The sequence below is a fragment of the Homo sapiens genome, chromosome 9, assembly GCF_000001405.40.
Source record: "Homo sapiens chromosome 9, GRCh38.p14 Primary Assembly".
NCBI lineage: Eukaryota > Metazoa > Chordata > Mammalia > Primates > Hominidae > Homo > Homo sapiens.
The window spans coordinates 84,333,959-84,354,865 of NC_000009.12; the positions used below are offsets into that span (position 1 = coordinate 84,333,959).

The 20,907-nt window shown below is 42.8% G+C and overlaps 1 protein-coding gene across 9 annotated transcripts in view; it reads right to left on the reverse strand.

Annotated features, from left to right (window-relative positions):
• Nucleotides 1-20,907, reverse strand: part of SLC28A3 (solute carrier family 28 member 3) — a 93,271-nt gene that overhangs the window by 58,502 nt on the left and 13,862 nt on the right. For 6 of the 9 annotated variants that reach the window (NR_037638.3, NM_001199633.2, XM_011518905.3 and 3 more), the window contains exon 1: nucleotides 6,616-6,800. The exons of 1 other annotated variant lie outside the window; for it this stretch is intronic. Coding sequence is in view for 7 of the 8 variants with exons in the window: in NM_001199633.2 (NP_001186562.1) it covers nucleotides 6,616-6,675 (60 nt within the window). In the remaining variant the exon portion in view is untranslated. Of the gene's footprint in view, nucleotides 1-6,615; nucleotides 6,801-20,907 lie in introns of those variants that run through there. 2 more of the 9 variants (NM_022127.3, XM_011518906.3) reach the window with 1 other exon arrangement.

A 20,907-nucleotide genomic window follows, 5' to 3' on the forward strand; every position in this document is an offset into this window, starting at 1 on the left:
GTGCATTATGAAATGGGATGAGCTGCAGTTACATGCAACACCATGTGAATCTTAGAGAGCTGATGGCCAGGCATGGTGGCTCACGCCTGTAATCCCAACACTTTGGGAGGCCAAGGCGGGTGGATCACGTGAGGTCAGGAGTTTGAGACCAGCCTGGCCAACAGGGTGAAACCCCGTCTCTACTAAAAATACAAGCCGGGCCTGGTGGCTCATGCCTGTATTCCCAGCTACTCAGGAGGCTGAAGCAGGAGAATCGCTTGAACTGGGGAGGCAGAGGTTGCAGTGAGCCAAGATCACGCCACTGCACTCTAGCCTGGGCAACAGAGCGAGACTCTGTCTCAAAAAAACAAAAAAAAAGTTTCAATATAAGCAAAGAATACATTTTGTGTTTCTATTATATAAAGTTCAAAACCAGGCAAAGGTACTGCTTGGGGATTCATAATTAGAAGTTAAGGTATAAAGAAAAGCAAGGAAGTAATTGCCCCACATTTGGGTCAGTAGTCACCCCTGGTTGGGTTTACCCCAGGGAAGGGAGGCAGCAGTGATGAAATGTGTAGGGCTGGACCCTGAGGGATGGCAATATCCTGTTTCTTGACCTGAGTGACAGTTCGCCTTATAAGTTGTATATTTGTTTTTATGTATTTTTCTGTATGTTGTATTTCACAACGAATTTTTTTTTTTTTAACATAAAAACACCTCCCCACAACTGCCTTTGCCTGCCCTAGGTCTTCCCCTTCCCCGCCCCTCCCTAGCACCACCACTGCACCAGAAGAGCGTTCATTCTGCTACCATTTTTCCTAGCCTAACTCCCGCTCATAACACAAACTTCTCCTCCTTCCCCAACCCTAGCGTCACCAGTAACCTCCTAGCTGGCAAGTCAAGTGAACCCGTGGCCTCACTCTATAGACTCCTCTGTCCTTTCGGAGTCTTTTCTGTTGACTTGTGGTTCTACTTTCCCTTGACTTCTCCAGATCGCCCCTCTCCTGGTTCTGCTGCTCTTTCTCTCCCTGTGGCCCTCTGCTTCATTCTCTGACATCTCTAACTTCCCCACTCCTTAAGCGCTACTGTTTCCCAGGCTTCCCTCACAGTGGTCTTATCCGCGCTCATATCTATGCTAACAGCTCCCAAATGTGTGTCCTCTTCTGAGCTCCAGGTGAACGTATGCTACAAGCTTCCTACTTCATCTACCCCTTCATGAAGATGCCTGGAGTCAACTTAATTTCAACCAACAGGCCTCAAAGAGAACTCACTCTCTTTTTTGCTCTAACTTTATTCCTAGATTTTCTACCTAAATAAAGCCTTGCCCGAGGCTGGGTGAGGTGGCTCACACCTGTAATCTCAGCACTTTGGGAAACCCAGGAAGAGATGGGAGGATCACTAGAGGCCAGCCTGGGCAACATAGCAAGACCCTGTCTCTACAAATATAAAAAATAAAAAAACTTAGCCAGTTGTGGTAGCACGTGCCTGTAGTCCCAGCTACTCAGGAGGCTGAGGTCAAAGGATTGCCTGGGCTCAGGAGTTTGAGGCTGCAATAAGCTATGATTGTGCCACTGCACTTCAGCGTGGGTGACAGAGTGAAGCCCTGTCTCTATTTAAAACAACAGCAATAAATAAACAAAGGGAATCACTTCCAAGTTGACATCCCAAGCTGGAAACATTGACTCCACACTTTCCTTAAGCTGCTCAGCATCAAAAGCTGCTATTGTTATGTTCATACTATGTGCCAGGCACTGTTTTCACAAGTATGTATATACGTGTGTGTGTGTGTGTGTGTGTGTGTGTGTGTATAAAATGTCCATTATACATATATAATATTAGCTTATTTAATTATTTCAACAATCCCAAGATAGGTACCATTATTATGCTCTTTTACAGAGGAGAAAACAGAAATCTTCAGAGCCAGAGCAGCATTTAGGCCCTCATCTTTACTCCTGAATTTCATTGTGGAGGGGTCACCTCATCAGTATTAGTACCTCCGTCCCAGTGTCTGCATCCACTGCCTTTAGCCTGGTTTGGATTATGACAGTAACTTCCCAACGGATGTCCCAGCCACACACAAATCCCTCTCCTTTTCCAAGCACTTTCAATGGGGCCACCAAAGTAATATTAAAAAAAAAAAAATCAGCCTGGTGCAGTTGGCTCACACCTGTAATCCCAGCACTTTGGAAGGCTGAAGCAGGCAGATCACTTGAGCTCAGGAGTTTGAGATCAGCCTGGGCAACATGGTGAAACCCGATTTCTACAAAAAAATACAAGAATTAGGTCGGGCACGGTGGCTCACGCCTGTAATCCCAGCACTTTGGGAGGCTGAGGCAGGCGGATCATTTGAGGTCAGGAGTTTGAGACCAGCCTGACCAACGTTGTGAAACCCTGTCTCTACTAAAAATACAAAAAAAGTAGCCAGGTGTGGTGGCATATGCCTGTAAACTCAGCTACTCAGGAGGCTGAGACAGGAGAATTGCTTGAACCCAGGAGGTGGAGGTTGCAGTGAGCCAAGATCATGCCACTGCACTCCAGTCTGGGCGACAGGGTGAGACTTCATCTCTAAAACACAAAACAAAACAAAGACTAGCCAAGTGTGGTGGCGCATGTCTGTAGTCCTAGCTACTCAGGAGGCTGAGGTGGGAGGATTGCTTGAGCCTGGGAGGTTGAGGCTGCAGTGAGCTGAGATCATACCATAGCACTCCAGCATGGGTGACAGAGTGAGACCCTGTCTCAAAAAAAAAATCACAATTTGACTGCGTAAATTCTGAGCGATTCCTTCTAAAATGCCTTAGCACACGCAGAGGCCACCTGACCTGATGCCAGCCTGCCCCCTTTCCCTATACCGTGTTCCCTTCCTCCATCCCAGGCTCATGTGCTCTTCTCCTTTAGGGTTCTGAGTCTGTACAGATAGTTCTCTCTGCTTGCAGTGCTCTGCCCACCCCACCTCCTACTGTGACCTGACCATCCTTAAAGCCCTAATCAAATTCTCCCTCCTTTGGTGATGCTGTCACAGACTCCTCAGTCAGCTCAGCTCCAGCTATATATTATTTACAATGCACTTGGTGCTGGCTGGGTGTTGTGGCTCATGACTGTAATCCCAGCACTTTGGAAGGCCAAAGCAGGAGGATTGCTTGAGGCCAGGGTTTCAGACCAGCCCTGGTAAGATAGCAAGACAAAATATAAAAAATAATAAATATAAGAATACAATGCACTTGGTGCAAACCTCCGCCATTTTCCTTAACATCAATTATATTGTAATTGCATGCTTATTTCTGCCTGTCCTTCTCCTTGAGGGCAAGAAGAGCATATTATTCTTTCTTGAGTTGGTATCCCTTCTTAGAGGCGGCCATATCTAGGGGGCAGTTGATGATTCTACTGAATAAATAGAAATAACCCAGTCACTGTTTTTAGGTGTGGGTGTTGTTGGTATGATACTCTGCTGGGTTTGAGATGCCCTGCTTAGAACCTTGAGGCCTGGGGATGCTAGCCTGTGTGTGTGCGCGCGCGTGTGTGTATGCGTATGTGGGTGTGAGTGTTTGCACACGTGTGTGTGTGTACTTTGTCCTTTCAGGCAGTTATTTTTCCTGAACTGATGGGAACATCTTGCACAAAATCAAGAGCCAGTTTGCTGACTGTTTTAAGGTTTAAAAAATATTTTAAAATAAAATAAGAAATCCTTAGATATTCCACATACACGCAATACTTTAAATGCCAATCCGAACTTCCTTCATAAATAGCAAACGTCTTATTTGCAACTACTGTTGAATGAAGTCATTTCCATCCTCAGCCATATGAGAAATAAGTTCCTTATTCATAGAAAACGTTTAGAGGTACAATAAAATGAGATTAGAAAAAAAAAACCCTAACATTCATTTCTATCGTTGGTTACAAAATCCACTCTCATGTATGAAGTGTGCTCTAGCTGTGAAATCCTTTCTTGGAGGTGAGATCATTTCTCTCTTATAACCCATATCACTGACTTTGTGCTCCTGTTTAACCTTTCCCACTGGAGTACTAGCTCCATGAAAACAGCAATTGGTGCTCCCTTCTTTGAGGAACAGTCCAGATGAGAGCCTGTCCAGGTAATCCATAGATATGCATAACCATTGCACCTGCACCAGGTCTTACAGGCACAGGCCTTTTGGGAACCCATATCAGCATTTCAAGCTGTGAAAGTAGTTCTACTTAGTAAAATTAGAACTTTGGTCTACCAAGGGCACTCTTAATATTTGAAGAAGAAAAATGAATTTCTAGCACAATTCACAGACTAGGACAAGGTGAATAAGTAAGCATCCTAACTTATTTGGAAGTCCTGGTGGCATGTTAATGCATATTTAATAATGCGAGTGAAGTAGCACATATTTTACAATCAATTAATTTTCCTTAAAGAAGATAATGTAGCAGGAGAGCTGAATGTCAAACAAGGTAAGACTCATACTTATTAACTTGGCAGGAGTTATGAGGCCTCTGATTCTCTTGAAAGACAAATTGTCTTCACTATTTTGATTTTGAAATGTAGAAATTCAAATTTCAATCAATCCAATGAGTAAGGATGACAGGAAATTTTACAGAACTAGGAGGAAGCTTCCTTTCATTTTTCCTTCTTTTTATTGGGGCAGGTGTAGGGGGATGTTTCCCCCACAAAACAGCAGTTTTGCTAGAAGACAGTGAGGGATCACCACCGTTGTGTGCCCTCCTCCCTGGGAGCAGCCAGTTGCTGTGACATGGACCTTCTCTATTGCAGATATATTTTCTTGCTGCCATACTTCCTCTGACTCTATCCAATTCCATCCTTTCCATTCTCTGGAATCAGAATGGGCCCATGCTTTATGCTTTTCCCCCTCACTTAGCCCTTAGAGAAGAGATCAGGATGTGCCACCCTCCAAATGCCCACATTTTGGCACAAGAATATTTTGAACTGAAGGCTATGAAAAAGAAAGCAGACACAGAAAGAGCTCTCTGCCCTCCCCCATCCCCCATCTTCCTAAAAGCAGCACATTTATTGATATTTCCCTTGCACAGGTGTCCCGCTTGCTCATACAAGGAAGAGAGCAACCCTTATCACCAAAGACAGAGATGCCGCTGAGATAAATCTGCATGAACAAACCTCGATAAATTAACCCTTATCTTCCATTATTTCCACCTCCCACCCCCACTTTATTGTCCCTAAAAGCATAACCCTCTTTTCCTTTGTCTAGTCATTTCACTATTTGCCGTGCTTTGTTTTAATGGTATATAAGCTCCTGAGTCTATTAGGTTTTTCCGTTTCTTTTATGTGAGGCTCTCATACATGTGAGATTTTATTTTATTATTATTATTTTTTTGAGACTGAGTCTCCCTCTGTCAACCAGGCTGGAGTACAGAGGCACGATCTTGGCTCACTGCAGCCTCTGCCTCCCAGATTCAAGTGATTCTCCTGCCTCGGCCTCCCGAGTAGCTGGGACTACAGGCATGTACCACCATGCCCGGCTGATTTTTGTATTTTTAGTAGAGATGGGGTTTCACTATGTTGGCCAGGCTGGTCTCAAATTCCTGACCTCAAATGATCAGCCCGCCTCAGCCTCCCAAAGTGCTAGGATTACAGGCATGAGGCACCACTGCCAGCCACATGTGAGATTTTAAATATGAATAAAATTTGCGTGCCTTTTCTCCTGCTAATCTGTTTTATGTTGGTTTAATTTGCAGGCCTCAGGCACTCAACCTAAGAGGGTAGATGAAGTTGTTTCCTCTCCTACACTTGTGACCTATAAGTGGTAACCCGATGCCTACTCATGGAGATGGGCATCACTGTGACCATGGGACAGATGATCAAACTTGGGCTCTGGGAAGTTACAGGAATTTGTGGGTGCTGGAGTCTGAACTCCTGTCAAAGCCCTTTTACCTCCCTCTTTCCTTTCTTGGCTAGCACCTCAAAGTTTTGTTTTGCCCATCTAGCAGACCGTAAAGTCCAAGGGATTGTTGACACTTGCCGGTGCAGGCTTCCCATCTTCTCCAGAGCGCCCATGCTGAGTGTCAGCTAAGGAAAGGAAGCACACCTAAAAACAGCCCTGGAAATCCCCATCCCAGACCCAGTCAAAATAGCCTGGTGTTTCTGACAGGTCTCCTTCTATGTCTCTGCGGGCACCCAGCCTCGGGCTGAGCAGCATTAATCACTCAGTGAGTTTTGGTTGATGAAGTGAGACTGATTTGCGTAATCCAGCTGCTCTGGGGCAGGTACCGGGGCCATCTGACAGGGGCTCCAGGACTTGGCTTGAGTAAAAGGAACCCTGAGACACTACCCCAGCCAGGATCTAAATTCCCCCATTTTTCCCTTCTCACCAGTTCTTTGGAAAAGTGCCTGAAGATAAATAATGGACCCCTGCTGTGAGCCAGAAGGGAAAAAAGGCAAGAGAAGAAGGCTGTCTTGTTTCTAAGTGACCATAGGGATCACAACACATCGATTAAAAGAGACTTTTCAGGTTTGTCAACCCAGAAGAGCCCAAGAAGAAAAAATAATGGGCTTAAAGTGTGCCGTTAAAAATCGTATTGTCCTGATAATCTCCCTGCTTAGGTAAGAAACTTGCCAAGGGGCTAAGGAAAGGGCAGCTTTTCCACTGAAGGCCTTTAACATAAGAGGAAAGCTCTGCTCACCTGGAAGCCCACGTTGCTGTAGCCCTCAGCTCTGGGGGCTGCTGTACTCCTCAGCTCCATGCTCTTTTTGCTGCTGGCTGGCTCTGGTCTGGAGGTCCTTTGTACCTGGGAAAAAGCACCAGTCTCTGCTGATGTCAGAAAGCCACCTGCTGTTACAGGGACCTGGGCACAGCTTGCTTCAGTTTGGAAACTTCTGCAATAATCTCCTGAATGACTAGGGCTGACACCTGGTTGGGGTGGGGCAGAGAGGCGGGCGGGTTGGCGGGGTGGAGGCATCTAGTGCTGGCCCGCCCACCTTATTAATCTTTTCCTTTATCCCCATTTTTGGCATCCTATTTGCACTCCTGGGGAGAAAACTCTTGTGGTGCACAAAACAGAAAAGGACACTTTCTTTTTCTTTCTTTCTTTCTTTTTTTTTTTGAGATGGAGTCTCAAAAAAAAAAAGGCTGGAGTGCAGTGACGCAATCTCGGTTCACTGCAACCTCTGCCTCCCAGGTTCAAGCAATTCTCCTGCCTCAGCCTCTCAAGTAGCTGGGATTACAGGTGCATGCCACCACACCTGGCTGACTTTATTTTTAGTAGAGACGGGGTTTCACCATGTTGGCCAGGCTGTTCTTGAACTCCTGACCTCAAGTGATCCACCTGCCTTGGCCTCCTAAATTGCTGGGATTACAGGCATGAGCCACCGTGCCCAGCCAGAAAAGGACACGTTCTCTATAGTGCTTAGTGAAATCCTCTGTTTTCCTGTGGGTGGTGTTAAAGACTAGGAGTGGTGGTGGGGTGGAGGGTGAGTGAACACAGGATATAAGGTCATGCCGCCCTCAGTGATCACCTACTGTATACCAGGGATGGATAGATGGATAGATACATAGACAGATAGGTAGGTAGGTAAGGGTCTTGGCTCTTCTTCCGAACAACTCAAAATTCTATACTGAAGTACAGAAAAGTTAACAATTTGTTTAGTGTCATTTAGCTAATAAAGGGATAATGAGAATTCAAATTCAAGTTTGGTTAATTCCAAAACCTTTTATTACATCCCTGCTTCAGACTGGGCTGCTTTCAAAAATCCAGCTTACAGAAATGCCGATATGTGACAAGTAAATGAAAGGTGACCAGCTATTCAATTATCAAAAGTGAATAGAAGTGCTTTGTTTTCATAAAGCAATTCACTTTGCTTTATGAAAATATTAGCTGTAGAATTCTTTTAAAATAGGGATTTTCCCCCCTAGTACAATTTAAAATACTGCAAAACTGTGGACAAAAGAATGGAAAAGGCCTGGTGCGGTGGCTCACGCCTGTAATCCCAGCACTTTGGGAGCCCAAGGCGGGTGGATCACTTTAGGCCAGGAGTTCAAGACCAGCCTGGCCAACATGGCGAAACTCCATCTCTACTAAAAATACAAAAATTAGCCAGGAGTGATAACGTGCGCCTGTAGTCCCAGCTACTCGGGAGGCTGAGGCGGGAGAATCGCTTGAACCCAGGAGACACAGATTGCAGTGAGCCGAAAACGCACCGCTGCCTCCCATCTGGATGACAGAGTGAGACCCTGTCTCAAAAAAAAAAAAAAAAAGAAAAGAAAAAGAAAAAGAAAAAGTAAGAAAATACCAAGTATTATGAGTGGTTATTTCTCGGTTTTTAATTTTATGGGCAGTTGGTGTTTTTTTTTTCTCCTTCAAATGCTGCTGAGTTTTCTATAAAGAGAATGATTTACTTTTATTATTGTTAACCTAAAGGAAAAAACGGAGACAAACTTAATGTAAGTATAGAGTTTATTTGGTCTAAGTTTGAGATTGCAACTTGGGAGCACATATTCAAGTTGCTCTGAATATACACTTAGTAGCAGTTACAAGTAGATTCTTGTGTGTGTGTGTGTGTGTTCTGTTGCCCAGGCTGGAGTGCATGATCATGGCTTGCTGCAACCTTGACCTCCTGGGCTGAAGCTATCCTCCTGTCTCAGCCTCCCGAGTAGCTGGGACTACAGACAGGTGCCATCACCCATGGCTAAATTTTTTTTTTTTTTTTGGTAGAACTGGGGGCCTCACTATGTTGCCCAGACTTGTCTTGAACTCCTGGGCTCAAGCAATCTTCCCACCTGCCTTGGTTTCCAAAAGTGCTGGGATTACAGGCACTGTGCCTGGCCACAAGTGAATTTTAAAGGAAAAGAAGGAGTTTCTGAGTTGTTTACCAATTATTTACATTAAAATAACATAAGCTATTGATTGGCTATACATTGCTATTTGTATCACACATTCTAGGAACAGAAAGGCAGCCAGTCAGGAACAAAATTCCTTTAAAACAATTGCCCCTGGCCAGGCACAGTGGCTCCCGCCTATAATCCCAGCACTTTGGGAGGCCGAGGCAGATGGATCATGAAGTCAGGAATTCGAGACCAGCCTGGCCAACATGGTGAAACCCTGTCTCTTCTAAATACTACAAAAATTAGCCAGGCATGGTGGCACATGCCTGTAGTCCCAGCTACTTGGGAGGCTGTGGCAGGAGAATTGCTTGAACCCAGGAGGTGGAGGTTGTGGTGAGTCGAGTGGAGGTTGTGGTGAGTCGAGATCACGCCACCGCACTCCAGACTGGGTGACAGAGCAAGACTCCATCTCAAAAAAAAAACAAAAGACAAAAAACAAAAGCAAAAAAAAATTGCCCCCGGGCACAGGGTTGAGTGGTGACTGAAGTCCAACCCTCCGTTTCTCTGGGCCTGATAGATTTTGCATTGCTCACATAGCTGGGACTGTGTGAGTTATTTTTGTTTTCTCTTTATCAGTGACTGAGGCCCAGTCTCTCTGGGCCTGATAGATTTTGCATATCTCACATAGCTCAGACTGTGGGAGTTATTTTTCTTTTCTTGTTATCATGATACAGACTGTACAGTGTATACATAATGATTAAAGGCTTGCAGGAACCTGTGGTCTGGGTTCAAATCCTGGACTCTACCTCATAACTACAGCCAACCACAGCTTGAGGGTCACACCTAACCTTCTGCTGCTTTTATATGGCCCAAGAGCTAAGAATGGGTTTTAGATTTTTAAATGGTTGAAAAAAATTAAAAGGAAGAATATTTCCTGACACATTAAAGTTATATGAAATTCAAACTTCAGTGTCTATAAATAAAGTTTTGTAAAAACAGAAACATGGCCATTGATTTATGTATTGTCTAAGGCTGCTATCATCCCATAAGGACAGAATTGAGTAGCTGTGACAAATACCACACGGCTCAAAGACAAAATATCCACTACCTGGCTGATGCCTATAATCCCAACACTTTGGGAAGCCAAGATGGGAGAATCGCTTGAGCCCAGAAGTTTGAGATCAGTCTGGGCAATGTAGGAAGACCCCGTCTCTACAAAAAATACAACAATTAGCCAGGTGTGGTGGTACGTGCCTGTAGTCCCAGCTACTTGGGAGGCTGAGGTGGGAAGACTTACTGGCCATGGGAATTTGGGCAAGTAGCTGAGTTCTCTGTATCTCAGATTCTTCCTTCATAAAACGGAGATAACAGTACCTGAGGACTAAGCTCTGATTTTTTTTTTATCTTGCCCAAATTATGATCTAAGGGGTCTGGGGAGTCATGCCCTACAAATCATAAATTCTCATCATATGGGTTTTTTTTTTTTTTTTTTTGGTCAGACAGAGTCTTGCTCTGTTGCCCAGGCTGGAGTGCAGTGGCAGATCTCAGCTTACTGCAACCTCCGACTTCCGGGTTCAAGTGATTCTCCTGCCTCAGTCTCCCGAGTAGCTGAGACTACAGGCGTGTGCCACCATGCCTGGCTAATTTTTACATTTTTAGTAGAAACAGAATTTCACCATGTTGGCCAGGCTGGTCTTGAACTCCTGATCTCAAGTGATCCACCTGCCTTGCCCTCCCAAAGTGCTGGGATTACAGGTGTGAGCCACCGCACCCGGCCCAGATGGGTTTTATTTAACCCTATATATCATGACTTACTTTCAAACCTGACTCGCATAACATTATGAGACAAGGAAGAAAATAAAAATATTTTACCCCAAAACATGTTTCTTTGACATATTTTGAAAAGGAAACATTGTCATCCTTTGTCTCTAAGGGCAGCCACTATAAAACTTCAGAAGAACTTTGGTTTCCACAATCTTTATCTTAGCCTGAATATTCCCTTTCTATGAATCCCAGGTCTTGAGACAAACTCAACCAATTGTCAACCAGAAAATGTTTAAATTCCCCTATAGCCTGGAAGCCCAACCCCCTCCTCCCCTTGCTTTGAGTTGTCCTGCCTTTCTGGACCAAACCAATGTATTTCTTAAATGTATTTGATTGATGTCCCATGCCTTTTTAAAATGTATAAAACCAAGCTGTGCCCTGACCACCTTGGGCAAATGTTCTTAGGGCCTCCCAAGGGTTGTGTCATGGGCCATGATCACTCATATTTGGCTCAGAATAAATGTCTTCAAATATTTAACAGAGTTCAACTCTTTTCATCGACATACCCATTTAGAAACAGTGCTGAGATGATAAAATGAGTTAATATACACAGGGAATAGTGCCTGACACATAATTCAACATCACCCAAATTTTATGATTTAGCTCTTTCGTGCTTCTTATTGATGAGACTTGGGGATTTTCATTAGTTCTTCCCCATCATTGCAATGTGCCATAAGTAGTAGTCATTGTGTTACCAAAGGCAAAAAAAAAAAAATCCAAGTGGAAGTGAGCAAGAGAAGTACAGATAAATAGACAGCAAATATTTGGGAAACTTTCCTTGAGAAATCGTTAGTTGGAAGAAACCAGTTGGTGCAACCTGATATTAAAACCTTCACCAACTCAAGACTCAATCTAGTTGAAGGTTATGGATGATCCTTACTTTCTGAAGCAAAAGACAGACATCTTCATTCTATCATTTAAAGCCTCTAATTGCAGAAACGTGACTCCAATGCCTGACATTCTTGCAGACACTGCTTTAGGAACTTTTAGAAATGTAACGATGTGTTTTCTTCTCCTTGGCTGCAGACAAAATTTGAAAAGAATGCAACAACATTTGGGGGAGCATATCATTGTGCAAGTCACAACACTAGACAGTGTTGATTAAAAGATACAGTGACCTCCCTCATCCATTCTCCAACTGTACCTGCCAGCAGGAAAAATTGACACCTAATTAGAGTAAATTGTATATACAACCATGATACTAAAATGCCAAAACAATGGTCATATCCAGAGAACTTGTAATTTAAAATTGTATGTTTCTGAAGCCTATCTTTAAGGAGCTTTCAGAACCAGTAAAAATTCTGACTCCTTGCAGCACCAGAATTAGTTTGATTTATGGGGCTATCACTTAAAGTGGTAACACCTTGGTAGAAGCTATGGCTCATTTTGTCCAATTAGGAAATAGAAATTGTGATCAGAAAATGAGATGAAAGGCCTTTTCAGTTTTACAAGACTACATTTTAAACAATTCCCCAGTCATGCAGAGTCATTATTTGTGAGAAATAGCTTGTGCCAAGAACTAAAAAACTGTCTCTTAACTCCTCAGAATTATTTTCATTGCGTTGTCACTCAAACTCAATTTTAAACTTTGAAACCATTGTGTAGCAACCAAATCACTAGACTTTTCAGTCAAATAATTCCTATACCCCGTTCTGTTCTCTAAAACTCAGCTTATAAAAATTTGCAAACTCATGGACTGTCTACGCACAAGCTCATTAAAGAAAACCAAAACACAAAAGTCCTCCATTTTTATTAAAATATGAAAGGAAAAATAAGTAATTACATGGCAATAGATTGTTTTTCCTGCCTTATGCATGCAGTTCTATAGTGAAGTCACTCTTGGTGACGGTATTTCCAAAAGGAGTAAAGAGAAAATTTGTAAAAATTGTGTAGAATGCTTGTCCTATGTTGAGCATGATGTGTTATATGTTCCAGACTCCTGTCTTCCTCCCTGAAGAACATTTCATGTAGTGCAGATTAACCTTTGTCTATACAACTTGAAGTAGTTAAATAAATAAATCAAATAATATTAATGTTAATAATAAAAATGTAATCCTGGGAGGTTTATAAGGCTTAGTCTAATTAACTGTCAATTGTTCAGATCATCCAAGAGGGGAAAAAGGAAAGCAATGAAAATGTGTATTTGACATAGGAAATGCTTCAGGATTTGTTTTTCAACAAAATTCTCCTTGCAGTTAGGTTTTTTCCCTGACATTTACACTATATACCAGGAAAGGCCAGCCAGAGCACTTAACACAGCCAAAGACTGGCCATAGAATCTGCCACATAGGTAATACCTGTCTGCAATTAAAGGATGATTTGGCTGTCTGTATCACTTTAGTGAGAATCTTGGGAAGGGCAGGGCACAGTGGTTCATGCCTGTAATCCCAGCATTTTGGGAGGTCAAGGTGGGTGGATTACTTGAGGTAAGGAGTTCAAGACCAGCCTGGCCAACATGGTAAAATGCTGTCCCTACTAAAAATACAAAAAACTAGCCGGACGTGGTAGTGGGCACCAGTAATCCCATTTACTCAGGAGGCTGAGGCAGGATAATAGCTTGAACCCAGGAGCACAGTTGCAGAATATCTTGAGCCCAGGAGGCAGAGGTTGCAGTGAGCTGAGATCACACCACTGCACTCTAGCCTGGGCAACAGAGCAAGACTCTGTCTAAAAAAAAAAAAAAAAAAAAAAAAAGGGAAGAAGGGAAGAGAACTAGTGACTGTTGAATGCTGCAACATACCTTTAAGATACTTATGTTGTTTCCATTTTATCCTCATAACAAGTCTTCACATGAGGTATTAATATCCCCATTTCACAGATGAAACACATGAAGCTCAGGGAGATAAAGTGGCTTTTCTAGCAACACAACTCATAAGTGGCAAAGCCATAATTTGAGCCCATGCCTGTGAAACCTAGTCTTGTCAAGAGCCCAGTTCTGGAAAGAAATGAAACCCAGGGGAAGCACAACTGAATTAATACCTCAACATGCTCACTCTATTAGTGAGGAAAACAAACCACAAGCAAAGTATATGCAAAAAAGGCTAATAAAATGGTGAAAGGCTAATAATATGGGGTTGTCAGGAAAACAGAGTTTAATCCATCTGTGCACTTTGAAATCCTCAAAAAGTGTGCCAGTGCTTAGGTGAGGGGATTCCTGAGAAGGCACAGGTGTCGGGCTGCTATATTGATTCCACCAGAAATGAATGCATAGAACTGAAAGCTATAGAAGGGCAGGAATTTTACCCATCTTAGTCTCTGCTCTTTCCTGGTGCTTAGCGTAGTGCTTGGAACAGCGTCAGCTCAAGGCTGAATAGAATGTTCATTGAACAAAGGTACACAAAGGAAGAAAACTGAAATTCCTACATTCCCATGTGTCCCAGGGAATATGTGTGAGTTCAAAAATGAGTTTCTAGGGCGCACAAGTTTGCACTGGTCAGCTCTCTCCAAGAGCCAACACTAGGACCAGGAGAAGGTAAGTAAAGAGCCCAGGGTGCAAAATTTAAGGGGGCACTCTCTGGACCAAGTGCAGGGTTGGCACTTGAAAATAAATTCCTCCTTAAAGTTTGCATTATAAGCACCTTGCCTAGCTCACCCTACTCCTGGCCTGGCCAAGAATAATCTATGGGCTTGTTTTAGATGAGTATAACATAACTGTTAAGAATGCAGGTTCAGGCCGGACATGGTGGCTCACACCTGTAGTCGCAGCTACTTGGGAAGCTGAAGCAGGAAAATCACTTGAACCTGGGAGGTGGGGGCTGCAGTGAGCCGAGATCACAGCACTGCACTCCAGCCTGAGTGACGGAGCAAGACTCCGTCTCAAAAAAAAAAAAAAAAAAATGCAGGCTCTGAACTTAGATTAGCTTCCAATTCAGGCTTTACTTCTACACTCACTAGCTGCAAGCTTGGGCTAGTTACTAGTAACCCCTGTAATCATCTACTGCTGCCTGCAAAATGAGGTTTATGTTTACAGCTATCTCATGGGTCTGTCATGAGGATAAACTGAGGTGCCACAAGGAGAGTGTCTAGCATCATGTAGTAAGCATCTGCTGTGGATTGAATATGTCCCACAAAGTCCGTATGTTAGAATCTTTATCACTGATGTGACAGTATAAAGAGGTAGGATCTTTAAGAGGTGATTAGGTCATGACAGCTCTGCCCTCATAAATGGATTAATGTGGTTATCTGAGGAGTGGGTTAGTTATCCCAAGAGTGGGTTCCTGATAAAAAGGATGAGTTTCTCCTGAATTTCTGTCTCTCTCCTGTGCTCACTTGCCTTTCCACCATGTTATGATGCAGCACAAAGGCCCTCTCCAGCGGCTAGTGCCATGCTCTTGGACTTCCCAGTCTCCAGAACTGTGAGCTAAATAAACTTGTATTTTTTTTTTTTTTTGAGATGGAGTTTCACTCTTTTGCCCAGGCTGGAGTACAGTGGGGCGATCTCGGCTCACTGCAACCTCTGCCTCTCGGGTGTCTCACGTGTCAGTGTGAAGAGACCACCAAACAGGCTTTGTGTGAGCAACAAGGCTGTTTATTTCACCTGGGTGCAGGCGGGCTGAGTCCAAAAAAGGAGTCAGCAAAGGGTGGTGGGATTATCATTGGTTCTTACAGGTTTTGGGATAGGTGGTGGAGTTAAGAGCAATGTTTTGGGGGCAGAAACAAATCACAATGGTGGAATGTCATCAGTTAAGGCTATTTTCACTTCTGTGGATCTTCAGTTGCTTCAGGCCATCTGGATGTATAAGCGCAGGTCCCTGGGGATATGATGGCTTAGCTTGGGCTCAGAGGCCTGACATCAGGTTCAAGGGATCCTTCTGCTTCAGCCTCCTGAGTAGCTGGGATTACAGGTGCCTGCTACCACGCCTGGCTAATTTTTGTATTTTTGGTAGAGACGGGGTTTCACCATGTTGGCCAAGCTGGTCTTGAACTCCTGACTTCAAGTGATCTGTCCGCCTTGGCCTCCCAAAATGTTGGGATTACAGGCATCAGCCACCACGTCCGGCTTACTTGTTTTTTATAAATTACCCATTATGTAGAATTCTGTTATGACAGCAGAAAACAGACTAAGACAGCATCCATACACTCACGGGTCCATGGGAAACCTGTCAGTAGCCAGTTTTTTGAAAACCTTGAGTTGAGCCTCTAGGGCTCTGTCAGTGTTCAGTAGGGTAAGTATGTTACCATTACATGTGGTTGAATGAGGTTCACGAAGGGAGCAAAGAACAAACATTGATATGGGTTATAGGAATGGCAGAATGGCAACATGCAACTTATGGATAAACAAGAATCTTCCAGGAAGTGCATTCTTGAGTCTGGAAGATTTCCAGAGATGACAATCTTTTTTAATAACACAGCCATGTGTTACTTAACAATGGGGATACATTCTGAGAAATGAGTCCTTAGGCAGTTTTTTCATCATGCAAACATCACAGAGTGTATTTACACAAATCCAGATGGTATAGCCTAAAACACACCTAGGTTATATGGTATAGCCTGTGGCTCCTAGACTACAAACCTGTACAGCATGTTACTGTGCTGAATACTGTAGGCAATTATAACAAAATGGTAAGTATTTGTGCATTTAAATATATCTAAACATAGAAAAGGTATAGTAAAAAATATGGTAGGCCCGGCACGGTGGCTCATGCCTGTAATCCCAGCAACTTTGGGAGGCCAAGGCAGGTGGATCACCTGAGGTCTGGAGTTCAAGACCAGCCTGACTAATGTGGTGAAACCACGTCTCTACTAAAAATACAAAAATTAGCCGGGTGTGGTGGTGCATGCCTGTAATCCCAGCTACTCGGGAGGCTGAGGCAGGGGAATCGCTTGAACCAGGAGGCAGAGTTTGCAGTGAGCCAAGATTGCGTCATTGCACTCCAGCCTGGGCAACAAGAGTGAAACCAGGTCTCAAAAATAAATAAATAAATAAATAAATAGGTATAAAAATAAAAAATGAAAAATAATAAATAAATAAATAATGGTACACCTCTATAGGGCACTTACCATGGATGGAACTTACAGGACTAGGTTCTAGGTGAGTCAGTGAGTTAGTGGTGAGTTAATGTTAAGGCCTAGGGCATTACTGTTCAATAATGTAGACTTTATATAAACATTATACACTTAGGTTACACCAAATTTATTTAAAAATTTTCTTTATTCAATAAGAAATTAATCTTAGCTCACCATAACTTTTTTCTGAGACAGAGTGTTGCTCTGTCACCCAGGCTGGAGCACAGTGGTGCGATCTTGGCTCACTGCAACCTCCACCTCCCTGGGTTCAAGCAATTCTTGTGCCTCAGCCTCCCAGGTAGCTGTGACTACAGGCACGCACCACCACGTCTGGCTGATTTTTGTATTTTTAGTAGAGGTGGTTTCACCCTCTTGGCCAGGCTGGTATATCCTGACCTCAAGTGATCCTCCCACCTCAGCCTCCCAAAGTGCTGGGATTACAGGCATGAGCAACGGTGCCCAGTCAACTTTTTTACCTTATAAATGTTCTCATTTTTAAAATTTCTTGACTCTTGTAATAAAACCTAGCTTAAAATGCAAATGCAAATACATTGTATGGCTATACAAAAATATTTTCTTTATAGTCTTATTCTATCAGCATATATATAACTTTTTAAACTTCTTTGCTAAATACTACAGCATAAACACCCACATATTAGTCTAGGCCTACACAGGGTCAGGATCATCAAGATGTCACTACGTGATAAAATTTTTTCAGCTCCATTATAATCTTATGAGACTACTATTGTATATGAGGTCTCTTGTTGACTAAAATGATGTTTCAAGGTACATGACTTTATTAGTATCTGCCTGCAATGTTCAGAGAAAATGCAGAGGCTGGGTGCAGTGGCTCATGCCTGTAATCCCAGCACTTTGTGAGGCAGAGATGGGCTGATTGCTTGAGCCCAGGAGTCTGAGACCAACCTGGGCAACATGGTAAAACCCCAAATCTTAAAAAATGGAAAAAATTAGTTGGGCATGGTGGCATGCGCCTATAGTACCAGCTACTCAGGAGGCTGAAGTGAGAAGATCACCTGAGCCCCAGGAGGTCAAGGCTGCAGTGAGTTGTGATTGCACCACTGCACTCCAGCCTGGATGACAGAGTGAGACTCCATCTCAAAAAAAAAATTAAATTAAATTAAATTAAATTAAAAAAAAAAAGACAACGTAGGGACAATTGGCAAAAGTTGAATTTGGTAAAAGTAATGTATCAATATTAAATTTCCTGATCTTGATAATTGTATTGTGGTTATGTAAGAGAATGTCCTTAGGAAATACACGTTGGAGTATTTAGGAATAAAGTGATATAATGTCTGTGATTTTACTCCCAAAGGGTTCAGGAAAAAAAAAAAACATGTAAATGTATATGAGTATGAGAGAGAATAAATAAAACAAATGAGGCAAGACGCTAATGGTGAAACTGTAATGAGAGTTTTTTGCATTATTCTTGGATCTTTTCTACAAATTTAACATTATATGAAAACAAAAAGTTACAAAAAGAGATGCTTTTTGAATTATTCATATATGTAAACATATACATTTAGCATTTTTTTAATAAGTTATGTATGTGGATAGTGAAATGGTCTCAAACTATATATTATCCTGCAGATTTCCCTCTATGTGGTTAAGTACAGATTCCAAAAAATTTTGCTTTTTTTTTAAGACAGAGTCTCGCACTGTTGCCTGGGCTGGAGTGCAATGACGTGATCTTGGCTCACTGTAACCTCCGCCTCCTGGGTTCAAGTGATTCTCCTGCCTCAGCCTCCCAAGTAGTTGGGATTACAGGCACCCGCCATCACACCTGGCTAATTTTTTGTATTTTTAGTAGAGATGGGGTTTCACTATGTTGGCCAGGCTGGTCTTGAACTCCTGACCTCATGATCCGCCTGCCTGTGCCTCCCAAAGTGCTGGGATTACAGGCATGAGCCACTGCACCCAGCCAAAATGTTGCTATTTCAGCTCAGAGTTGAGATGGATTTATATAACACACACACATAATTCTGCTATTGATAAGGATTAAAAATTTTGGTATATTAAGATTATTAAATTTATTAAGATTATGGCCAGGTGTGGTGGCTGACACCTGTAATCCCAGCACTTTGGGAGGCCAAGGAGGGCAGATCACTTGTGGCCAGGAGTTTGAGACCAGTCTGGCCAACATTGTGAAACCCTGTCTCTACTAAAAATCAAAAAAAGAAAAAATTAGTGGGGCATGGTGGCAGTCTCCTGTAATCCCAGCTACCCTGGTGGCTTAGGTACAAGGATTGCTTGAACCTGGGAAGTGGAGGTTGCAGTGAGCCAAGATCGCACGACTGAACTGCAGCCTGGGTGACAGAGTGAGATTCTGTCTCAAAAAAAAAAAAAAAAAAAAAAACCTTATTAAGATGATGAGTTTATTAAGATTTTTAGTATGAAGATTAAGATTTAACTATTGATGAGGATTATTAGGATTAAGATTTTTTAGTATTTAGGGGTTTCTTCTTATTTATTGACACAACAATGAGATTTGTCATTATCAGGTCAAGCCATTGGGTCAGAATTATAAAAATGCTGAGTAATTATTAGTGACATTAAATTTAAAGATTATCAATGTCTGACATTATAAAAAAAAGAATTTAGGTATGTACCCCAAATATGTATCCCAAATGTAAGTTGTCCTTAACATTTGCTGTAAATCCAAAAGTAAAGATTTCAAATCACATCTTGAGTTTACATATTTTAAGCCTCACTCACGTCTACTCAGTTATTTCATATACTGGTGGAAGCTTGAGGTGTCTTGGCTCTTAAACAACATGGTAAAACATCTGTAAGTTGAAGTATAACTTGGGAACAGGGAAATAATGATATTGAATTCTATTCCATCTACTGTACTAAAAACAATTTACAGGCTGGGCACACTGGCTCACTTCTGTAATCCCAGCACTTTAGGAGGCTGAGGTGGGCTGATCACTTGATGTCAGGAGTTCGAGGCCAGCATGGCCAACATGGTGAAACCCCATCTCTACTAAAAATACAAAAATTAGCCAGGCGTGTTGATGCGCGCCTGTAATCCCAACTACTTGGGAGGCTGAGGCAGGAGAATCACTTGAACTCGAGAGGTGGAGCTTGCAATGAGCCGAGACTGAGCCACTCTACTCCAGCCTGGGTGACAGAGCAAGACTCTGTCTCCAAAAACAAAAATTATAAACAGAAAAGAACTATGTCCTACACATGTAATGTAACAATCACAATCACAAATACACCAAACTATGTAAACCTATGTAGGTTTATATGCTTTCAGTTTGTATGCTTTCCTGTTAATTTTAGTTTTACTTATTTGCCTTGTTAGCATTCATTAGCATGATTCAAAACTTATCAAAACCAATCATTCCAGGTAAATCCCATTCATTCACTCAAAATATAAATTCTAATTACTGAAAGAAAAAATCCTACTTATCGGCTTCCTCTTATGATAGCTGTACATACTGAGATATTGGTGTCACTGTTCTTTGTTAGTATAGGAATGTGGCTCAATGCCTGGCTCTCACCTCATCTTGTTCTCTTTCTTCTTTGCTCACAAATCTTCCAAGTCCTCCAGATCTGTTCTGGCCACAGGACATTTTCACTTGAATTTGGACTGGCCCCTGGACTGGCTCTTTCTCTTTGCTCAGATCTTAGCTCCTCAGCGAGGCTGTCCCAGGCCACACTGTCCTGTTGCCAGGCCAACCCTCATAGAGGACACTGTTTTGTGAACCATGGGCTCTCCTGCATGGGGCATAGGGCTGTGCATGGAGGCAATGCAGAGGGTAGGTATCTAAGAGCTCTGAAAGCCTGGCTGGTAAATACCATCCCCCCTGAAAGGAACCCCACAGGTTACACCTAGGACTTCTTGTGCTAGAAACAATGAAGTTTTTAAACCTACCTAAGTTTATAGCCAAAGGATATAGGAGTGGCCTGGGAAAGAACAATGTTTATAATCGATTGAAACACATAAAACCTTCAAAAATTCATGAGTCTATAATGATACTTAAAAACGGAAACTCTAGGCCGGGCACAGTGGCTCACGCCAGTAATCCCGGCACTTTAGGAGGCTGCGGCAGGCAGATGGCTTGAGCCCAGCAGTTAGAAACCAGCCTGGGCAACATGGCGAAACCCTGTCTCTACTAAAAATACAAAAATTAGCTGGTATGGTGGCGTGTGCCTGTAATCCCAGCTACTCGAAAGGCTGAGGTGGGAGGATCGCTTGAGCCCAGGAGGCAGAGGTTGCAGTGAGTCTAGATCGTGCCACTGCACACCAGCCTGGGCAATAGAGTGAAACCCTGTCTCAAAAAGAGAAAAAAAGAAA